The following is a 22,794-nucleotide window of genomic DNA, read 5'->3' as shown; positions in this document are numbered from 1 at the left end:
TGTCCCCAAGCCATTGAATTTTTTTACTCTAACTGATTTGGAATTCTACATTACTTATTTCAGTCCCCACCCTAAACATATTTTTTCTTCCCAATTTATTCTTAAGGTTGAAATAAAGTTCGAATGAAACCTAGCAACACATAAACCTAGAGAAAAGAAGTAAATAATTTATTTTCTGGTATAGAGGAAACTATTTGTAGCTAGAAATAAACCAAATGTTCTCAAATCTGAGTGGAATTATATTAATTATATTTTTTTTCAAGAATATTCTGAAATGGGATTTTTCTGACCTAAATGAATCATCCAACTGTTATGATAATAGCCCTCCAAAGCTAAGGAAGCCCAGATTTTTGATACTATAATGTACTGCAGAGTCATCTATCATATAATTTGAACAACAATCTCTAATTGTGTTTTCCTTCATAACCAAAAAGAACATCTTAAAATTGGATGAGTTTGTGAAATGGTCAGGAATTCTTCATTTTTGTTCTTTGAGTATTAGAATCATCCAAGATTATACCCAAAGACACTTTAATTATAATGATAACATTCACTGAAAAAAAAAAGAGTGCTATGTAAGCAGGGCGTCCCATGTTTTTTTGCATTATGACACACATGAAAGCTGATTATATTTGCACAGCATGCTGGGATCAACTTAGAGTTGCCTCAGCGAGAAGCAACAAACCTAATGGTGGTAGGCGCCTGCTAGCTGTGAAACTAGTATTTCAGGATTCTGGTTACACATCCAAGGCATTAGAGAAGTTTAGGAGTAGAGCATAGACTTTCCTTAGAGAGTTGCCTGAAACTCCCTTTAATCTTCTTCTTAATCGGGACACCCATCTCTCTACTCCTACCTCACTCCCCGGCAAAACTGCATTTTTGCCCAAGGTGGGCTAAGCATACATAATTTTATTTTTACATTGGTTTAGTACATTTTAAAAATCAAAAGAAAATAACACATGAAAATAGAATGTGGGTATTTTGCATTAGAGTAAGTTGGTTGCATTATACATATGATTTTAGAGATAGAGCTGCTATGAGGAATTGGCAATAAAATTGTTGACCTTCACAGTCTATGTTTAGTGATCACATCAACCATAAGTTCTCAATGTGTTATCATCCATGTGACTTGAGTTGCATATCTAATCAAAAGCCCACTGAGACATTATGAATTCAAGGAAAATGTCTATATTATTACCCAGGAGATTAATAAAATTTCCTAAATTCTCTGTTTATGGCCTCCTACTGACTTAGTTTTATGAAAGATGCTATAAAGATAATTAAATTAGATGCTAGCTAGTGACTGCTATTGTACAGGACTTTCATTTCCATTTTATAGAACGAAACAGTGTTGAAGAAAAGAGTTGTGATAAATGGTATATATTCTGCTTTGTTTTGCAGAAATTAATTTTGTAATATAAAAGAAAAATATAATTATTATGTTATCTTTAGAAAATAAGTAAAGGAAGGCCTATGGTAACTTCCTCAGATGACTTATTCAAAGATCTTTTTCTTTTTTTATTTGAGACGGAGTTTCGTTCTTGTTGCTTAGGCTGGAGTGCAATGGCGAGATCTCGGCTCACCACAACCTTCACCTCCCAGGTTCAAGTGACTCTCCTGCTTCAGCTTCCTGACTAGCTGGGATTACAGGCATGTGCCACCACGCCTGGCTAATTTTTTGTATTTTTAATAGAGACGGGTTTTCTCCATGTTGATCAGGCTGGTCTCGAACTCCCGACCTCAGGTGATCCACCCATCTCGGCCTCCCAAAGTGCTGGGATTACAGGCGTGAACCACTGTGCCCAGCGACTTTTGTCTTATAAAATAAAATATAGATTCAAAATCCTAACAACATATAATGATGGCTAGAATATATCAAGTTCTGGGTGCCAGATTTCATGCCAACAATTTTCCAAAACCTTCCAAACACATTTCATCTTCAGAACAATACTATGAGGTGGGCACATTTATCTCTATCATACAAATAAGAAAGCTGAAACTAAACAAAATTACCTGGCCAGTTTGTGGACATAGACAGAACCAGCAGAGGTTGAGCAAGATTAAGAAGCAGCTTGTCTGATCCAAGTGCCTGCAATCTTGATCACATTGCCTTAGGCCCAACCATTGCAAAAAATCAACCTAACAAACTAGCATATTTTACGATGATATTGACCAAATTTCAGGAGTTGCCAAACTTTGTTCCACATTAGAATCACTTGGGGAAATTGTATGATTCCTATTCTCATCCCCTACCAATTAAATCATCATGTCTGGTAGAGTTAGGGGCAACCAAATATCAGTATTATTACAGATTCCTAAGTGATTCCCTTTGCCCAAAATTTGGGGACCGCTGACCAATGCAGATTTTGGAGGTCTCAGCTTACAGCTGGTCCTACAGTCCTAAATTTCACTTAGGAGAAACCATTGTGCTTCAGGTTCTGGAGCTAGACACTTAACTATAGGCTATGACTAGTCCCTATATGTGTAAATCTTCTTGTCTCCCACCTCCCCCCAACCAAAAAAAATTTCTACAAGTGCACTATTTAATTATTAGGAGATGCACAGGTGGACTGAGCAATGGTAGCATTTTTTTTTTTTTTTTTGATGCACTACAGCAATATTGGCTAAGCATACAGAGAAGGGAGAGAGAGATTTGGCAATTAGCAGTTATTTTGATACTGTTAGGCAGCCAAATAGGAAAATTAGGTCCCCCCAAAATCCACTTTGGAATCTAATTATCCAATTTGACTCTTTACCGTGATCAAGTTAGTCAACAAATTGCCTTTTCACTTGTCCTGTGTTTTCCAGGATATTATAAATGAAAATTTGAAAACTTCCTTTTGCTATTTTTGCAGAAGGTAGAAATTGAAAAGAAACTTACAAGTCATTTGGGCCAAGCCGTCATTTTAGGCTGAGGAAGTGAGGCTACAGATTACTGCCTTATTCTCCCAACAAAGCAACCGCAGCTCTCAGGGTCTCCTGCTACAGCTTACTATCTCAGGAAAAAACCCAGGGGTGACACTGTGCCTAAAGGGGGCTGTTGGGATTCTAGACAGAGGCAGTATCTCTGGGGAGGGACATGTGATTCTGATACCCATGATGTTTGAATCCCTTGGGTCGGTGATGCATTCTATTTATAGAAAAATATAGAAAAACGAAATATAGAATATAGAAATATATTCTGTATTCCGTATACAGAATATAGGAATATAGTTCTGTATTCCGAATACAGAATATAGGAATATAGTTCTGTATTCCGAATACAGACTATAGGAATATAATTCTGTATTCGGAATACAGACTATAGGAATATAATTCTGTATTCGGAATACAGACTATAGGAATATAATTCTGTATTCGGAATACAGACTATAGGAATATAATTCTGTATTCGGAATACAGAATATAGGAATATAAATCTGTATTCGGAATACAGAATATAGGAATATAATTCTGTATTCCGAATATAGAATATAGGAATATATTCTATATTCCGAATATAGAATTGCGTTCTTCTGTATTCCGAATATAGAATTGCGTTCTTCTGTATTCCGAATATAGAATTGCGTTCTTCTGTATTCCGAATATAGAATTGCGTTCTTCTGTATTCCGAATATAGAATTGCGTTCTTCTGTATTCCGAATATAGAATTGCGTTCTTCTGTATTCCGAATATAGAATTGCGTTCTTCTGTATTCCGAATATAGAATTGCGTTCTTCTGTATTCCGAATATAGAATTGCGTTCTTCTGTATTCCGAATATAGAATTGCGTTCTTCTGTATTCCGAATATAGAATTGCGTTCTTCTGTATTCCGAATATAGAATTGCGTTCTTCTGTATTCCGAATATAGAATTGCGTTCTTCTGTATTCCGAATATAGAATTGCGTTCTTCTGTATTCCGAATATAGAATTGCGTTCTTCTGTATTCCGAATATAGAATTGTGTTATTCTATATTCTCAATTGTATTCTATATTCCGAATATAGAATTTTTAATAGAGATGGGGTTTCTCCATGTCTGTATTAAATATATCTCTATTAAATATTAAATTTAATATTTAATATTTAATGTCTCCATGTCTCTATTAAATATTAAAAATTATATATTCAGAATCATATTCTATGTTCTGAATATAGAATATATGAAAATAAATATAGAAAACAATATGGATATAGAAAAACAGAAATAAAACATAATTCGGAGAAAGGTTGTCTATCAGAATTCACTCTCAGTATTGGCTGTGTTACACATACTTGGCCTTTCTATGGTGACTCAGCTACCTTCCTAATCAAGGCCTTTCAGGGGAGGGGCTGAGGAGTAAAAGCCTCTGCTGTCAATGCCCTACAGATCGTGAGGTGTTAAGAGGGTGGTTTCCTTCCTTGGCATCAATGCCTACAATCTAGGGCATCCACCTGCAGGCCTAGATGATTTGTGACCTCAGAATTGTTGTGGTTCCTGGACCTTTGTTGATGTAGTTTACCTTGCATCCCTCAGGCAAAACTAGAGGGGCTGGGCAAGGAAGGGAAGAAGGAGTCAGGCCTGCAGTAGCTTCTTGGGGTTTCTACCTCTGATCCTCCCTGCACAACTGTAATGTAACATGCTGGCTTCCAAAAGTGTAATTACTTATGTTTTTTTAACTACAATTATTCTCTTAAGAGCATCTATATAGAGGGGAAAAAGGAAAATTAACCAACCAAACTTAAGTTTTCCCTTGAATTACAAAAAAAAAAAAAAATTAATGATTATTCACTTTATAGAAGCAAAACTTTACTGTGTCTTAATATGACCAAATAAAAACTTAACCAAAAACAATAAAAATAAAAATAAAAATAAACCAGGGCCGGGCACAGTGGCTCACACCTGTAATCCTAGCACTTTGGGAGGCCAAGGTGGGTGGATCACCTGAGGTCGGGAGTTCCAGACCAGCCTGACCAACATGGAGAAACCCATCTCCACTAAAAATACAAAATTAGCCAGGTGTCGTGGCAGGCACCTGTAATCCCAGCTACTCAGGAGGCTGAAGCAGGAGAGTCACTTGAAACCAGGAAGCGGAGGTTGTGGTGAGCCGAGATCTCACCATTGCACTCCAGCCTAAGCAACAAGAGCGAAATTCCGTCAAAAACAAAACAAAACAAACAAAACAAAAAACAGTTCATTAATGACTGTACTACCAATAGATTCATTACCATGCTAGAAATGCTTCATTTACTCCCCATGGTAAGTGCTGTAGAACAACACTACACTATTAAAGAGACTGAAATTGCATTAATGCGGGCTAAGATACTAGTTAGCTCTTTTGGCAAATCACTGGATTTGTTTGTATTGAACTTACTGTGAACAAAATCCCTGGCTTTTTTCCCACATCTTAGGCCAGTCAACATGGCTCTTTCAAAACATACCTGAATATAATTGGTTTATTTGTGTACACTTTTTTTATTGGCTCCACACAAATGTGCTACCTAGGATGCTAGAAACAGGTGGGTTGTCTTTCCTGTGTCTGTATTTAGGCCTTTATAAATTTCTATATATGTAAACTGTCCTCTCCTTTTAATATCCATCTATCTCTCCCCACAGATGACTAATAGAAACCTTATCCACCTTCAGCTGAAAAGCTCCCTTCTCTCTTTTTCTTTATTTTACGATTTTGTGCAAAAGCCCATTACCCACCCCTTAAAACTCTCTGAAATTTTGATTCTACCCATCCCAAGCTCATCTCTCCCTATGCAAAATCCTTCCCTCTATGACTCTCTTTGGCAACAATGCATTTGTAGGAAGAAGACAAAATTCCTATTAAAAAAGATGACTCAAGCTTGCTTCCATAATATAGGTCAGCCATATCCTGATGATTTTGTTGTTTAGTTTCATTTAGTTAAATGTAGGTAGGCCCTAGAGCTCAGTTAGAATTGGAATGGTTGAGAGAATGAAGAAATAAAATTCTTTGCATAATTAAGAATTGTTAAAAAAAAATGTTCCCTTGGAAGACAAGGGAGACAAAGAATTGGGGATCCTAGGACTGGAAGAGAAGCTTTAGAAGAAAGATTTAAATAGAGGGCAAGAAAGCCCTGAGGGGAAAAAAAGAGAAAGTGAAAGTAAGAATACCCCTCTGATAAGGATATTTAGGGCACTTTAAAAAAAGTAATAGTGCTGAAGAGGTTGTTTATGAGTGCACCAACCAGCCACCTCTGTCCCTTTCCCGGATGATCCCGAAAATGAAGCTTCCTGGCCAGGAAAACAAAACGGCCGTGGTTGTGGGAACCATAACAGATGACGTGTGGGTTCAGGAGGTGCCCAAACTGAAGGTGTGTGCACTGGGCGTGACCAGCCGGGCCCGCAGCCACATCTTCAGGGTGGGGGGCAAGAACCTCACTTTCGACCAGCTGGCCCTGGACTCCCCCAAGGTCTGCGGCACCGTCCTGCTCTCAGGTCCTCGCAAGGGTCGAGAGGTGTACTGGCATTTCGACAAGGCCCTGGGAACCCCACACAGCCACACCAAACCCTACGTCCGCTCCAAGGGCCGGAAGTTCGAGTATGCCAGAGGCCAAGGGGCCAGCCAAGGCTACAAAAACTAACCCTGGATCCTACCTTCTTTTTTCTTTTTTTTTAATTTTTTATTATTATACTTTAAGTTCTAGGGTACATGTGCACAATGTGCAGGTTTGTTACATATGTATACATGTGCCATGTTGGTGTGCTGCACCCATTAATTCGTCATTTACATTAGGTATATCTCCTAATGATATCCCTCCCCCCTCCCCCCATCCCACGACAGGCCCCAGTGTGTGATGTTCCCCTTCCTGTGTCCAAGTGTTCTCATTGTTCCATTCCCACCTATGAGTGAGAACATGCGGTGTTTGGTTTTTTGTCCTTGCGACAGTTTGCTGAGAATGATGGTTTCCAGCTTCATCCATGTCCCTACAAAGGACATGAACTCATCATTTTTTATAGCTACATAGTATTCCATGGTGTGTATGTGCCACATTTTCTTAATCCAGTCTATCACTGATGGACTTTTGGGTTGGTTCCAGGTCTTTGCTATTGTGAATAGTGCCACAATAAACATACGTGTGCATGTGTCTTGATAGCAGCATGAGTTATAATCCTTTGGGTATATACCCAGTAATGGGATTGCTGGGTCAAATGGTATTTCTAGTTCTAGATTCTTGAGGAATCGCCATGCTGTCTTCCACAATGGTTGAACTAGTTTACAGTCCCACCAACAGTGTAAAAGTGTTCCTATTTCTCCACATCCTCTCCAGCACCTGTTTCCTGACTTTTTAATGATCGCCATTCTAATGGTGTGAGACGGTATCTCATTGTGGTTTTGATTTGCATTTCTCTGATGGCCAGTGATGATGAGCATTTTTTCAAGTGTCTGTTGGCTGTGTAAATGTCTTCTTTTGAGAAGTGTCTGTTCATATACTTCACCCACTTTTTGATGGGGTTGTTTTTTTCTTGTAAGTTTGTTTGAGTTCTTTGTAGATTCTGGATATTAGTCCTTTGTCAGATGAGTAGATTGCAAAAATTTTCTCCCATTCTGTAGATCGCCTGTTCACTCTGATGGTAGTTTCTTTTGCTGTGCAGAAGCTCTTTAGTTTAATTAGATCCCACTTGTCAATTTTGGATTTTGTTGCCATTGCTTTTGGTGTTTTAGACATGAAGTTCTTGCCTATGCCTATGTCCTGAATGGTATTGCCTAGGTTTTCTTCTAGGGTTTTTATGGTTTTAGGTCTAACATTTAAGTCTTTAATCCACCTCGAATTAATTTTTGTATAAGGTGTAAGGAAGGGATCCAGTTTCAGCTTTCTACACATGGCTAGCCAGTTTTCCCAGCACCATTTATTAAATAGGGAATCCTTTCCCCATTGCTTGTTTTTTTCAGGTTTGTCAAAGATCAGATGGTTGTAGATGTGTGGTATTATTTCTGAGGGTTCTGTTCTGTTCCATTGGTCTATATCTCTGTTTTGGTACCAGTACCATGCTGTTTTGGTAACTGTAGCCTTGTAGTATAGTTTGAAGTCAGGTAGCGTGATGCCTCCAGCTTTGTTCTTTTGGCTTAGGATTGTCTTCACAATGCGGGCTCTTTTTTGGTTTCATATGAACTTTAAAGTAGTTTTTTCCAATTCTGTGAAGAAAGTCTTTGGTAGCTTGATGGGGATGGCATCGAATCTATAAATTACCTTGGGCAGTATGGCCATTTTCATGCTATTGATTCTTCCTATCCATGAGCAGGGAATGTTCTTCCATTTGCCTGTATCCTCTTTTATTTCGTTGAGCAGTGGTTTGCAGTTCTCCTTGAAGAGTTCCTTCACATCCCTTGTAAGTTGGATTCCTAAGTATTATATTCTCTTTGAAGCAATTGTGAATGGGAGTTCACTCATGATTTGGCTCTCTGTCTGTTATTGGTGTATAAGAATGCTTGTGATTTTTCCACATTGATTGTGTATCCTGAGACTTTGCCTAAGTTGCTTATCAGCTTAAGGAGATTTTGGACTGAAACGATGGGGTTTTCTAAATATACAATCATGTCATCTGCAAACAGGGACAATTTGACTTCCTCTTTTCCTAATTGAATATCTTTATTTCTTTCTCCTGCCTGATTGCCCTGGCCAGAACTTCCAACACTATGTTGAATAGGAGAGGTCAGAGAGGGCATGGGTCCCACACCCACGAAGCCTCGCTCATTGCTAGCACAGCAGACTGAGATGGAACTGCAAGGCGGCAGCGAGGGTGGGGGAGGGGCGCCTGCCATTGCTGAGGCTTGAGCTGGTAAACAAAGCAGCTGGGAAGCTCGAACTGGGTGGAGCCCACCGCAGCTCAAGGAGGCCTGCCTGCCTTAGTAGACTCCACCTCTGGGGGCAGGGCATACCCGAACAAAAGACGCAGAAACCTCTGCAGACTTAAATGTCCCTATGTGACAGCTTTGAAGAGAGTAGTGGTTCTCCCAGCATGGAGTTTGAGATCTGAGAACGGACAGACTGCTTACCTTCTTATTAAAAAGATTTTGGATGCTGACCAAAAGTAATATCTGTGGTCAAGAAGGATTAGGGGAACTATCTTTATCTAGTCAGAGACCAGAGACCCTCTCTTTTATCTGGTCAGAGATCCTCCTTTTCTGCACCATTTTCTAATGGAATGTATAAAATGTGAAGCTACGTATACTTGTACTTGTTACAACAGAGAGAGCAAGTTCATCTCTGTAAATTACTAAGATAAGTAAAGGAAAGAATGTTAACTGAAACTATTAATCATGAGTTGAGAACTGAGAGAGTTCCAGAGAAGAGTTGTCATAGCACTAAGTGAAAGCCATTTATCAATGTGGAAGGCATGAGTGCAAATATGTAGGGAGGCTCTTCATATAAATAAAAAGGAAAGGATCTGCACCCTGGAGGAAGGTTCCAGCTGATATGATAAGGGGGGTGACTTCATATATCAGATCATCCATTTGAGGAGATAAAAATCTGGAATAATGTGCCCCAAGACAGACTCCCTCTTCAGAATTCTGTGAAGGTGCCTTCTTTAGAGCCACTTGGAGTTGTCTTGTTCCCTTTCGGGTTTTTTTTTTTTTTTTTCCTAAGACGAGGTCTCACTGGAGTGCAATGGCACGGTTATAGCTCACTACTGCAGCCTCCAACTCTTGAGTTCAAGCAATCCTCATACCTCAACCTCCTGAGAAGCTAGGACTACAGGTGGACACCACCATGCCTGACTAATTTTTATCATTTTTTTAGTCGAGACGAAGTCTTGCTATGTTGCCCAGGCTGGTCTCAAATACCTGGGCTCAAGCAATCCTCCTGTCTGAGCCTCCCAAAGTGCTGAGATTACAAGCATGAGCCACTGCACCTGGCCTGGCCTGTTGTCTTTAGGAATCCTTATTGTATCACCTTTCTCCCCTTCATTTCGTTCCTCTATCTTTTGTTCTTCAGAGAAACACAGGGGTGTGGGAAATAATAAGCAACCCATTAAGCAGTCATTTAAAGAAGCCAAGTTCTAATTTTTTCTAGATTCTTAAGATCATATTGGCACTATTTGTCTAACAAAGAAAGTTAATTGCAACCTTAATATAGTTTTTAAAATTACTTACTGTCTGTGATCCAAATAAAATGTAAGCAATATGAAGACAAGGATTTTATCCTTATTGTTCAATGCTTTGTGCCCAGCACCTAGAAAAATGTCTAGACGATGTGATAGGAGTTATTAAGAAATTATTTTAGGCAGATAGAGAGGAAAAGGGGTCCTTGGGAAGTTTTCATTTTTTTAAAAAGCATCTCCAGAAAAGTTTCCTGTAAAGCCCCTGCTCTTAGAGCCAGGCTGGCAACCTTTGATATGCAAAAACAGGCCATTAGAAACTGGGTCCACCCAAACATAGTGATTCCCAGGGTCTTCTTGACCTTGCCCCACATGTTCCTGGTAACATGGCCACCCCCACATATCCCCACGTGTGTAGAACATCATGGCGCCCTTCATTTGCATATTAGGGTGGGAGGGCCAGCTTTTTCATGGGTTACATGAATGACATGCCTGGTCAAACCAATCCCCTGAGTCCTATGCAAATCAGACACCGCTTCCTCCAGCCTCTGCATATATCTGGCTGGTATCCATCGCACTTGGGGTTGGTTCCCTCTCTCTACTTTGGAGCACGGCTCCCTCTCTGTACGGGGGAGCTTCTTCCTTCTGCCTTCTTCCTTCTTTCTTGCCTATTAAACTCTCCGCTCCTTAAAACCACTCCATGTCTGTCCATGTCGTTTTATCTAATTCGACTCCAGACGAAGAACCTGTTGTTCCTCCACTCATTGGAGCTGTATCAATGATAGGTGTTAAAAACTATTTACTAAATGGGATGAATGAATTTTCCTATGTCTCTATTATTCTCAAACCTTAGGCAGGTATCTATTACCTGCCTAAGAGCCCAGTGTTAGTGGTGCTTTGCTGAATGCAGGTAGGAGAGCAGTGGCCATGTGCAGGGCAAAGGTGACAGCTGCAGGAATCCAGAGCATAAATAGGAGTTAATAATGAAGAGGAGCAGGAATTATGAGTAACAGGAGAACAGGAAGACATGGAAGTATGGCAGTGGAAAGGGAGTGTGCTTTCTTTCCAATAACACATGGATTATGTCACCAGCTAATTATTTGGATTAAAGGAAAGGGTGAACCTGAAAATCAGGAATTTAGGAACAATTGAACGAATAAATTGTAAAAACATTCTTTCACTGTAGACAGACTCCCTTTCAGTTAAGACCTTTATCTCAACTGAAGATTTATAACAAGAGACCTAAACATCAATTACAACTTATTAGATGAAGGCCCAAGTGCAAATTTCACCTTGTCCCATTGTTAGTTCTTAAAACTAGACCAGCCCACCCACACCATGAATTAATGGAAATGGCTGAAGTTTCACCAAGACTGCTTCCATGAACCCTCCTTTTTCTTTTCTTTTTAATTGACAAATAATAATTGCATATATTATTTTTATGGGGTACAATGTGATGTTTTATATATGTTTACATCATGAAATGATCATTTGTCCTCACTTTTTCCTTAATTGCTCTTCATCGCTGGTCCATGCTCTACCCAATTCTTGGCCCAGCAGTGCTACCGTTGGTCATTTAAATTTGAAATTAGTTATTGATCTTCCCAGCATTTGAATCTTGGTTATACCTTTTGAGAAAAGAGTGCTTGTTTCTGTGATTTTGAATGGGAATCCATGTCCAGGTTGCAAATTCTTGGAAATCTTGACACCAGACATCCTCTGCTGGATTGACCCCAACTTCTCTGTAAAGTAACTTCGGGACAGATTAAGATAATCTATTTTTAAAACCCACAAGATTAAAGCAGATATATGTGAAAGTATTCAGGAAAAGGCAAACAGTAAACATGTGTAATTTGGATTCAACAAAACTTATCTCGAGTGCTTTGTTTATTAAACATTATGGTAGGTGCTGCTATTATGTCCTTTAATGTCTCTTCCCATTCATGTTGGTAAAAACACTTTTTCTCTCTAACAATAACCTGTTGGTCTATTATCTTCCTATACTTGATTTGAAGAGAGATGAGTAGTAATTTTCTTCCTCGTTTTCTTGTTTTATTTATTTATTTATTTATTTATTTATTTATTTATTTATTTTGGTTGCCTGTTGACTCTTTTGTCTCTCATTGTACAGTCTCTGTTGACTGTTCTTTCTTTTATTGTACAATTCTTTATTATCCTCTTTCTCCCTTTGTCTCTGTCTCTCTCACACACACATACATACACACTCTCACACTCACACACACATGCATACACACTGCCTTAAGGACAATGCAATTTTCCCCATATTCTGCAGATCTTATCTCCATATTCATCACACTCACACTTTTAGCTTATAATTTGTTTCTCCATGAGCAATGGCCTCAGCCACTTCAGTGTTCTTATTACTAAACTGCTTTGATGCCATATTTACCGAGTTTGTTGCCTTAACTTCTATGCATTTCTATTTAACACCATCTACACACCAGGATAGTATATACCAGATCTCTCCTCTCTCTCTCTCTCTTTTTTTTTTTTTGAGATGGAGTTTCACTCCTGTTGCCCAGGCTGGAGTGCAATGGTGCAACCTTGGCTCACTGCAACCTCTGCCTCCTGGGTTCAAGTGATTCTCCTTCCTCAGCCTCCTGAGTAGCTGGGATTACAGGCATGCACCACCACACCTGGCAAATTTTGTATTTTCAGTAGAGATGGGGTTTCTTGGTCAAGCTGGTCTCAAACTCCCGACCTCAAGTGATCCGCCTGCCTTGGCCTCCCAAAGTGCTGGGATTACAGGTGTGAGCCACCACACCCAACCCAGATCTCACTTTTAATAGGCATTGCTATTTCTCTGAGATTCAACCATGTGCTCCTTACCTGCTCTATATCAAATTTCTCTCTGATTCACCTGCCCTTTTTCTCACCCTCTGAAACAAGCATTCTAACTTCAGAGAGATCCCCAAGCCTTCCATGTCCTTGAATTCACTTCATCCTATCAGGGCCCTCTTTATGAAACTGGAGTTTGTCCTCAGACTGGGCAGCATGGTCTACAATACTTCCCTCTCCACTAGACCAGATGTCCTGTACCCCGACATTCTGCAGAACTGGACACCATTGTCTTCTATAAAGGGCTGCTACCATGGCTGGCTTTCTCCACTGCTGCTTCCTGGCCACTGAGGATTCTTAGAGGAAGATGCAGAGTGGTTCAGACCTAATTCAGCTTTGTTAATTTTCAACTGGATCCTCATGCTGTTGCTTGATCTTTTCATTGTTTTCTCATTGACTCAGTAAATCCTCTCCTTACAGAAGATATTCCAGTCTCCAATCACAAAATCAAATACAGAATGTTAGGGACTTTAGAAATTGAGACTGGTTTCTTTACACTCTGAGAGAAGAATCTGAAACTTGTAGATTTGCCTGCGGCCAGTAGATATTCTGAGCCAGCTGAAACCCAAACGTCCTGACTCCCACCTGATGTGTTATAGCCAGCCTTCTTATTTTCCTCATGCTGCTCAAGTCCTGATTTCTGCCTGATTGTTTAGTAGATGATCTTGCCTTCTATGTCACATGAAAGATCTGGGCCATCATCTTCAGTATACCCCAGCATTATATATATATATTTTTTTAATCACCTCTGGCCTACAGAAGCATTATCGTTTTCTTTCTTTCTTTCTCTCTGTCTCTCTTCCTTCCTTCCTTCCTTCCTTTCCTTTTGAGACAGAGTCTTGCTCTGTTGCCCAGACAACAGAGTTGCAGTAGTGCAACCTTAGCTCACTGTAATCTTTGCCTCCCAGGTTCAAGCAATTCTTGTGCCTCAGCCTCCCAAGTAGCTGGGATTACAGGCATGCACCACCATGTCTGGCTAAGGTTTTGCATATTTAGTAGAGATGGGGTTTCACCAAGTTGGCCAGACTGGTCTCAAACTCCTGACCTCAGGTGATCCCCCTGCCTCGGCCTCCGAAAGTGTTGGGATTACAAGCGTGAGCCACGGCGCCCGGCCAGCATTATTGTTTTGATAGGCCTTTTAGTCTCTTCCATAAGTTCCAAAGGAAGAGATAAACCTCTTTATTTCTAAACAAGAATCCCTCCACTCTTTCTCCTATATTGCAAAGTCCAATCCTTCTATTTTCCCTGATTTTTGATTGCTTCTTTTTTCTCTTACAGTTTCAATTCCTTCTTCTCTGTAGATACCTTTTTAAAAACAGGCTCTCATCTCTCTGCCCCAATAAACGCATTAAAAAAAAAAAGACAAAAACAAAACCAAAAAATAAAATAAAATAAAAACAAGGTTGATCCCACTATTTATTTTATTTATCAAACCATTTCTCCCACTGTTAAACTCATGAAATGAGTGATGTATGCCTGGTAATTCTCTCCTTCTACTCCTTACTCCAAAATGTACCAGTTTTATAACCTACCAAAACTGCCCTTGCAGATATTATGATCTCCTTTTCTTCTTTTCAAATCCTAAAAAAATTTTTCTATTATCTTCTGATCCAAAAATTCTGCAGAATTTTATTGTGTAGAAGACTCTTTTCCTTGCATGTCTCTCTCCTCTGGAGTTTCATGTTTGTTCTGTTCTTCCTTCTCTGATCACTGCCTTTCTACTTCATCTCTTCCTACATCTAACCTCCAAACAGAAAGTCCTATCAAAATACTTGTTTTTGTTTTTGTTTTGTTTTGACAAGGACTGGCCGCCATGCCTGACTAATTTTTGTATTTTTAGTAGAGACGGGGTTTTACCATGTTGGCCAGGCTTGTCTTGAACTCCTGGCCTCAAATGATCCACCTGAAACGGCCTCCCAAAGTGCTGGGATTACAGGCATGTGCCACCACGCCCAGAACTTTTTTTTTTCTTTTTTCTTTTTTTTTCTTTTCTTTTCTTTTTTTTTTTTTTTTTGTATCTTCAACACTTCTGCAAGTTCTCCCAATCTCAGTCTCAGATAGCAAATCTATTTGGATAACTCTCAATCCAACATCTCTGGTATGTAAATCGTGCCTGTAATCTAGATTATATTTTAAATGCTTAAGAATAGCTATGTTTTGATTATTCAAAAGCCAAGGACTTTGATAAGATTACTCAAATACAGGATGAGAAAAGAAAACTGTCCAGAATCAAATGCTGAAGCACTTAAACAAGTAAAGATTGAGTAGATATGAAGGAGCCATCAAAGGAGACGAAGGAACCAACCATGAGGCAAGACAAAAGCTGAGAAAAAGGAAGTGTCCCAGAAGCCAAGAGAAGCACAAATGAGGGAGAAAGCAGACCTGTTCAATGCAAGAAAAAGTCAATACACTGGGATAGAGAGGGGGCCACTGGAGTTGTAAACACCGAGGTTTCCACAGTAGTGGTGGGCAGGAGAGAAGCCAGACTTGAGTGAGTGGAAGAATTTGTGGGTGGCAAGGAAAGGGAGAGAGCAAGAGAGGCAAACTCTTTAGAGAAGTTTTGCAGGTAAATCAGACTGGGTGAGAGATTTGGGGATGAAGGTAGTTTTTTTGTGTATTTAGTATATGGCAGATACTAGAGAATGTGTGCATGCTGGTTGGAATACCCAGAGAAACAGAGAGAGAGAGAGACACTGGTATTGCAACAAGGTAAGAGATAACTGAAGGATCAAAGTTCTTGAGAAGGAAAAAGAATGAACCCACAGCTCGGTTGACATAGGCCCTTGAAAGCAAGTTGAATACAGTTCTCATTGTAACAGGAAAGATATAGTGAAGACACGTTCAATTACTAATAGAATTATAGATTTTGTGGTGGAGAAACTAATAAAATTTTCTGCTAGTTTCCATTTCTCTTGAGTAAAACAGTGATGTCATTATCCAAAGTGAAGAGAAGTTGAGGAGGGTTGGGGAGATTTGAAGAAAAAGAAATCAGAGTATGGGAAAGAAGACAGAAAAGTAAGACTGTAGGATGGCACTGAGAATCCATGTGAGGTGTGTGGTTATGTTCTTATGATGAAACCAGCTTCTTGGTGTGATTTTGTCCTGCAAAATTCAAGATAAATAGATAGGTAAAGTGTAATAGTGTAAATATCATTGTGTAGGAGTTCAGGGAAGGCCTCTCAGACAATTCTAGCAGACCTATAAGAAGTGAGGCTAGTTTCCAAGGATTCTATATAGAGCATACAATAAGTGCAAATCCCTTAGGTGGGAACATGCTTCCCATTAGTTCCAGAAATATTCAGGAACTCAGTGTAACTGGAACACAGTTTTAGAAGGTGAGTGGTGAGAGACAAGATGGTGTAGAGCAGATTTTCAGAGTCTTAAATTAAAATATATATATATATAAAGAGAGAGAGTTTTACTTATAGTGAAGTGCCCACATATTAATTATACAGCTTAATAAATACTTATCTCTCCATATATATCTACATATACACACACATTTATATATTTTATACATATATTTACACACCCAGATATATTACATATACCCATGTAAACATAACCTAGGTCAAAATATGGGGCATTTCTGGCATTCCAAATGGCTATCTTGTGCAAGGATGAGAATTTTGAATTGTATTTCTGGGTAAGATTTGAAGCTACTAAAGGAAGTGGCACCATCTGACTGATTTTTAAAAGGATTACTCTGAGTGCCACACAAAAAATATACTGATGACATTGCAACATCTGAGCAAGAGATAAAGGTAGCTTGGACCAAGTGAGTGGTGGGGAAGGTTGTAAGAAGTGGTCAGATTCTGATTATGTTTTGAAAATAATGTTCCCATGTTTTATGATGGCCCGAATCTGAGCTGTAAGATAAAGAGAAAAGTAAAGGATGACTAAGAGATTTGTGGCCTGAACAATCAATGGAGCTGCCATTTAGTGAGAGGAAGAACCAGAGGAGGGGAATGTTTGGAACATAACTAGAGGAATCAATAGTTATGTTTTGGTTATATTAGCTTGAAATAGAGACTAGACATTTAATCAGAAATATCTAGTGGAGGCCAGACATGGTGGCTCACGCCTGTAATCCCAACAGTTTGGGAGGCTCAGGCAGGAGAATTGCTTGGGCCCAGGAGTTCGAGACTAGCCTAGGCAACGTAGTGAGATCTTGTCTGTACAAAAATAAATAAATCAAATTAAATTAAAATTATCTGGGCATGGAGGAGGCTGAGGTGGGAAGATTTCCTGAGCCTGAGAGGTAGAGGCTGCAGTGAGCTGTGATGGTTGCACTCCACTCTAGTCTGGGCGACAGACCAAGGCCCAATCTTGAAAAGAGAAGAAGAAGAGGAAGAGGAAGAAGAAAGAAGAAAGAAGAAAGAACAAAGAAGAAAGAAGAAATACAATAATGGTGTGTCCCAGAAGCCAAGTGAAGAGGGTGTCTCAAGAAGGATAAATGATCTATGGCATCAGGTGCTGCTGAGAGCTCAAGAAAGATGAGGAATGAGAACTGGCCATTGGATTTGGCAATGTGTAAATAATTGATTACAACATCACTTACTACTGACATTTCTTACCCTCCAGTAATTTCTCCCTTCATTCATATTGTGTTTGTGTGTGTGGGGGGGGGAGGGGTGTTATTTTTCCTCTTAACTGATACTTGATTAAAGAATGGTAATTTTGCTCTTTAAATGGGTGCTTATCCTACATACCTAACTTCTCATCACTGTTTAAGAATAGGTAATTTTTTGTTTCCCTTTTTCTCACCCTTATAGGTGTAAGTTTGGACAAGTGATTTAAGGAAAATGATGGGTAAAAAAAAAAAAGAAATCTAGGCAAATAGGAATAAGCCTTTCACAAGGCATATCTAAGAAGGTTGAAAGTATTATTTGAAGGAATGTATGCCATCTGAAAAAAAAGTCTAGTAGAGAAACAGCAGGGAATAAGATGGTACAGATGTCAGTTTAAAATTAATACAAAATAAAGCCATTGTCATAATTACCTCAACACAATTTAGGACCCCAGTTTGGAGATTTTTATTCCTATGAAACAGTTATTAGTGTTACTCACATATTTCCAATTCTCTGGTTTGTAGCTATATGCAACAACTGCATTCCCCACCTCTTTTTAAAGTTAGACATGCCCATGCTACTTGTTATGGCCAATGAAATGTGAGTAGAAGTGACCTGTGTCACTTCCATTTGATAATTTTGCAGAGTAATGCATGATTTCCCTGTTTTCTTGCCATACTGATGGCCTTCAGTAGCCTGGATTCCTGAGTAATTATGATAAACAAAGCCATCCATCTGACTTTTAGTGGAGATATAGTATGAATGAAAAATAAACTTGCACATTTTAAAATTCATTATATTTCACTTATTTATTGTCTTTTAGCGACAGGGTCTTGCTCTGTCACGCAGACTGGAATGCAGTGGTGCAATCATGGCTCACTGAAGCATTGCATTCCTGATCACAAGCTATCCTCCTACCTCAGCTTCCAGAGTAGCTATGACTACAGACACACACCACTATGGCAGCTAATTTTTAAATTTTTTTGTAGAGGCAGAGGTCTTCCTATGTTGCCCGGGCTGGTCTTAAACTCCTGGACTCAAGCGATCCTTCCTCCTCAGTGTTCCAAAGTGCTGGGATCACAGGCACTGTGTTCAGCCAATTTTTGCCTTTTTAAGCAGCTAAAATTTTGGGGTTGCTTGCCTCTCTAAAAAGATCTAGCCCATCCTAACACATACTATTAAATTAATCTTTGATTAAGAAGTTTACATGTTTTCATCACCTGGAGAGATTTACAGTAACAGAAAAAGTAAAATCTAAACAAATAACTGTTTACTTGTTGGGTTTTGGGTGTCCATAGAAAATATGTTTGGGGGTAGTAAGATCTTGATATTCTACTCTACAAGCAGTTCCTAATAGGAGAAAGAACAAAATCAAATAAATAATGGTTCTCTCAAGTTTCATCTACCACTTCATCCTTGCCTGGAAAGGAGTAAATACATGTTGCGCTTTATGTTATACGTGACCGACAAAGTGCTAAATATTTTTGGAAGGCTTTATGAGATAAAATTTACATAACATAAAATTATCCATCTTGATTATTTTAAAGTGTCTTATTCAGTGGTCTTTAGCATATTCACTATGTTAGGCAAGCATCTCTGCTGTCTAATTTCAGAACATTTTCATTACCCCAAAATGATAAGCTGTACCCATTAAGCAGTCACTTCCCCTCTTCCTTCCTTCAGCTTCTGGCAACCACTGATCTATTTTCTGTTCTGTGGGTTTGCCTATTCCAGATATTTAATATTAATGAAATTGAACAATATGTGGCCTTTTGTGTCTCACTGCTTTTACTTTGCATAATGTTTTAGAGGTTCATTCATTCCATTTTATGGATATATCACATTTTGTTTATCCATTCAGCAATTGACAGAAATTTGGGTTGTTTACACTTTTTGTCTATTATGAATAGTGCTACAGTGAACCTTTGTGTCTAAGTTTTTGTGTGAATATATGTCTTCATTCTCTTATTTGTTTGGGGAACCACAAAACTCTTTTCCACAGCTGCTGTACTATTACATTTCCACCAGCAATGTATAAAGTTCCAATTTCTCCACTTAAAAAAAAAATTATAGCCATTTAGTAAGTGTGAAGAGGTATCTCATTGCAGTTTGGCTTTGCATTTTCCTAATTGTTAATAATGTTAAGCATCTTTGGCCCAGTGTGGTGGCTCACATTTATAATCCCAGCACTTTGGGAGGCTAAAGCGGGAGGATTGCTTGAGCCCTGGAGTTTGAGACAAGCCTGGGCAACATGACAAGATCCTGTCTCTACAACAAAAAGAAAAAAAAATGTTTAAAAATCTTCCCATGTGCTTATTGGCCATTTCTACATCTTCTTTCTAGAAATAGCTATTCAAACTTTTGCCCATGTCAGCTTCAATTGTTTGCCTTTATGTTGTTGAGTTATGAAAGTTTTTTTAGTATATCTTTTGCATATTAGACTCTAATAAAATGTATAGTTTGCAAATATGCTCTTACATTCTCTGGGTCGTTTTTTTTTTTTTTTTTCCATTTTCTTGGCAGTGTCCCTTGACACACAAAATTATTTAATTTTGATGAAATCAAAATTTTCTCTTTTGATATTTGTGCATTTGGTGTTATATTTAATAAAATATTGCCTAACCCAAGGTTACAAAGTTTTGTCCCTCTGTTTCCTTCTAAGAGGTTTTTACTTAGCTCTTACATGTAAGTATTTGATCCATTTGGGGCTTTTTTTTTTTTTTTTTTGAGACAGAGTCTCACTCTGTCACCCAGGCTGGAGTGCAGTAGTGGTGCGAACTTGGCTCACTGCAACCTCTGCCTCCCAGGTTCAAGCCATCTCCTGCCTCAGTCTCCCGAGTAGCTGGGATTACAGGCGCTTACCACCATGCCTAGCTAATTTTTGTATTTTTAGTAGAGATGGGTTTCACCATGTTGGCCAGGCTTGTCTCGAACTCCTCACCTCAAGTCATCCGCCTGCCTCGGCCTCCCAAAGTGCTGGAATTAATTTGTGTATATGGTATCAATAGGAATCCAAATTCATTATTTCACATGTGGTTATCAATCTGTCCAGCATCATTTGTTAAAAAGACTATTCTTTCTCCATTGAATGGTCTTGGTATATTTGTCAAAAATCTCTTGACCATAGGTAAATGAATGTACCCCTGGACTCAGTTTGATTCCCTTAATTTATGTGTCCATCCACAACCCAGCACCACACTGTTTTGATTATTACAGACTTGTAGTACATTTCGAAATTCACTCCCTAATCGGGTTCTGGGCTGAAAATGGAATGCACAACTATGATGCTCTGTTTTTAAATAGAGTCCCCTCTTCAAGTCAGATTATCATTTAACCCCTTTATATCCATCCACTGCAGTGTGGGCTGGTAATGTGTAATTCATCTCTGCTTTGTGCAGTTCTTTTCTGTACCGGTTGTGTTTTTTAACCTATCTTAGCTTGGGCAACCATAATAAAATACCATAGACTGGCTTAAACAACAGGAATTTATTTTTCACAGTTCTGGAGACTGTGTAATCCAAGATCAATGTGCCAGACAATTTGGCTCCCTAGAAAGGGCTCTATTCCTGTCCTGCAGACAGCGACCTACTTGCTCTGTCCTCACGTGACAAAAAAGAGAGTTCTAGTCTTTCTTCCTCCTCTTATAAAAACATTGTTTAAATGGTAAGTTGAGTAATAGTCACATTTTAAAGAGTTTATTTGAGCAAACAATTCATGAATTGGGAAGCTCCAAATCAGAAGTGGACTGGGAGCTCCACCAAGGGAATGCAAGAGAGAGGCTTTTACAGAAAAAAATACGGAGGTAAAAAAAATAAAATATTTAATTGGTTACAGTTATTCAGTTGCCTTATTAGGTCTATCTTGTTCCTAGTTACATAATTATAGGTTTGTTTTCCGTTTCTGAATGGTTAGTGCTTAAATTCTGTTTTTCTTTAATAGAGGCATTTACAAGAAATAGCTCAAGCTAAGTTTTGCTTATGTTTGAAAATCAAGCAAGGTTGAAGTCACTCATGAGGCCTCACTGGTTAAGTCTGCTCAGAGAATCTTCAGGCCTGGTTTCCATTTAAATTTACTTTAATATCAATAATCCTATCACGGAGGTCCATGCTGACAACCTCATCTATACCTAATCACCTCCTCAAGGCCCCACTTCCAGATATCACATTGATGGCGAAGTCTTCACTACACAAATTTTGGTGGAACAAAAACATTCAGTCTATAACATTACCTATCACTTCAACAGAAGGTGGTAAAATATGAGAGGGATACAATTCTGTAGTTTTATAAATTCAGAGTGATTGTTAACAGCTCCTATGGGACAAAAATAAAAAGAGTGTAGGTTGGGAAAAATATAGATCTACCCACAGTTTGGCAAGAATTTTGACTGCTGCTTCTTCCCAAGTGGTGATAATAACCAGCTCAGAATTAATTAGATTTAATAGATTAAAAAATTTGCCTAGCAAAAGAACCCTCTTCTATTAGGAGTTTCTTGTTTCACATTCTAATGGCATACCCTTTTAGTTGTTGATTTAAATTTTGTAAAAACTGGAGAAGTAGTCAAGACCCTTAAAATGTATACTGAGTTTTAATTTCAAGTTATTTGGTTTAATTAATAGAGACAATCTCTCTTTTATTTTATTAAGCTTATTTTATTAAACTATTCAGTGTTCCACATTTTTGACATCGTAAAAAATTAGTAAGGGACAATAAATATTTAAGTTCTCCAATTTTAGAATTGTTTATGTTATAATTTGAATACATAAATACTAGTGATTTTGACATATTTATACATTAAGGTTGATAAATCATTTTATTTTTCTCCTTTTAAAATAATTGTTTACCCAATGAAATCAACCTGAGAAAAAGCATCCAGATCTTTTCTGAAATATCAAACCACACTTATGCTAAGTTTGTTTGTATAGTACTTGTTGATTTTAAAATATTGGAGTTGATGGCTAATTGTCTACCAACATCTATTCTCCTTATTTCATAACAGTAGAGTTATGTCTGTCACAGCCCCATCCTGCTAGAGATGATCAGACTCCCCTGCTGCTGGATATGTCCAAGTGACATAATGTATTCCACTTGCTTAAAGAGAAGGATTTCCCCTCCACTTCTCATGTTCCCCTAACCTGTAATCTGGACCATGCAGATGAGAGAAAGCCTAGAGCAGAGCAGCTGGCTAGAAGGAGCCCAAGACCCTGAATGACAGATCTTATGGACCACAACTGCCCACCTGTCTAAACTACCACCTTCCTTTAATCTGTTGCATGAGAGAAAAATAAGTCATTATACCATTTCACCCTATGTAATATAGACACTATAGAACAAATGCACT

The 22,794-nt window shown here is 38.6% G+C and overlaps 1 pseudogene, besides 1 other annotated feature; it reads left to right on the top strand.

The window, feature by feature from the left end:
• On the top strand, window positions 6,142–6,591 carry RPL18P4 (ribosomal protein L18 pseudogene 4; annotated as a pseudogene).
• Window positions 8,674–8,968: an enhancer, noted in NCBI's record as "tiled region #7081; K562 Activating DNase unmatched - State 1:Tss". NCBI's record gives its function as "activates a minimal TATA promoter and a strong SV40 promoter by Sharpr-MPRA in K562 cells {active_cell/tissue: K562}" and the evidence as "EXISTENCE:reporter gene assay evidence [ECO:0000049][PMID:27701403]".

The sequence above is a fragment of the Homo sapiens genome, chromosome 7 (genome assembly GCF_000001405.40).
Source record: "Homo sapiens chromosome 7, GRCh38.p14 Primary Assembly".
Taxonomy (NCBI): domain Eukaryota; kingdom Metazoa; phylum Chordata; class Mammalia; order Primates; family Hominidae; genus Homo; species Homo sapiens.
Note: the sequence above shows the minus strand (reverse complement) of the source record. Positions and strands in the feature narration are given on the sequence as shown.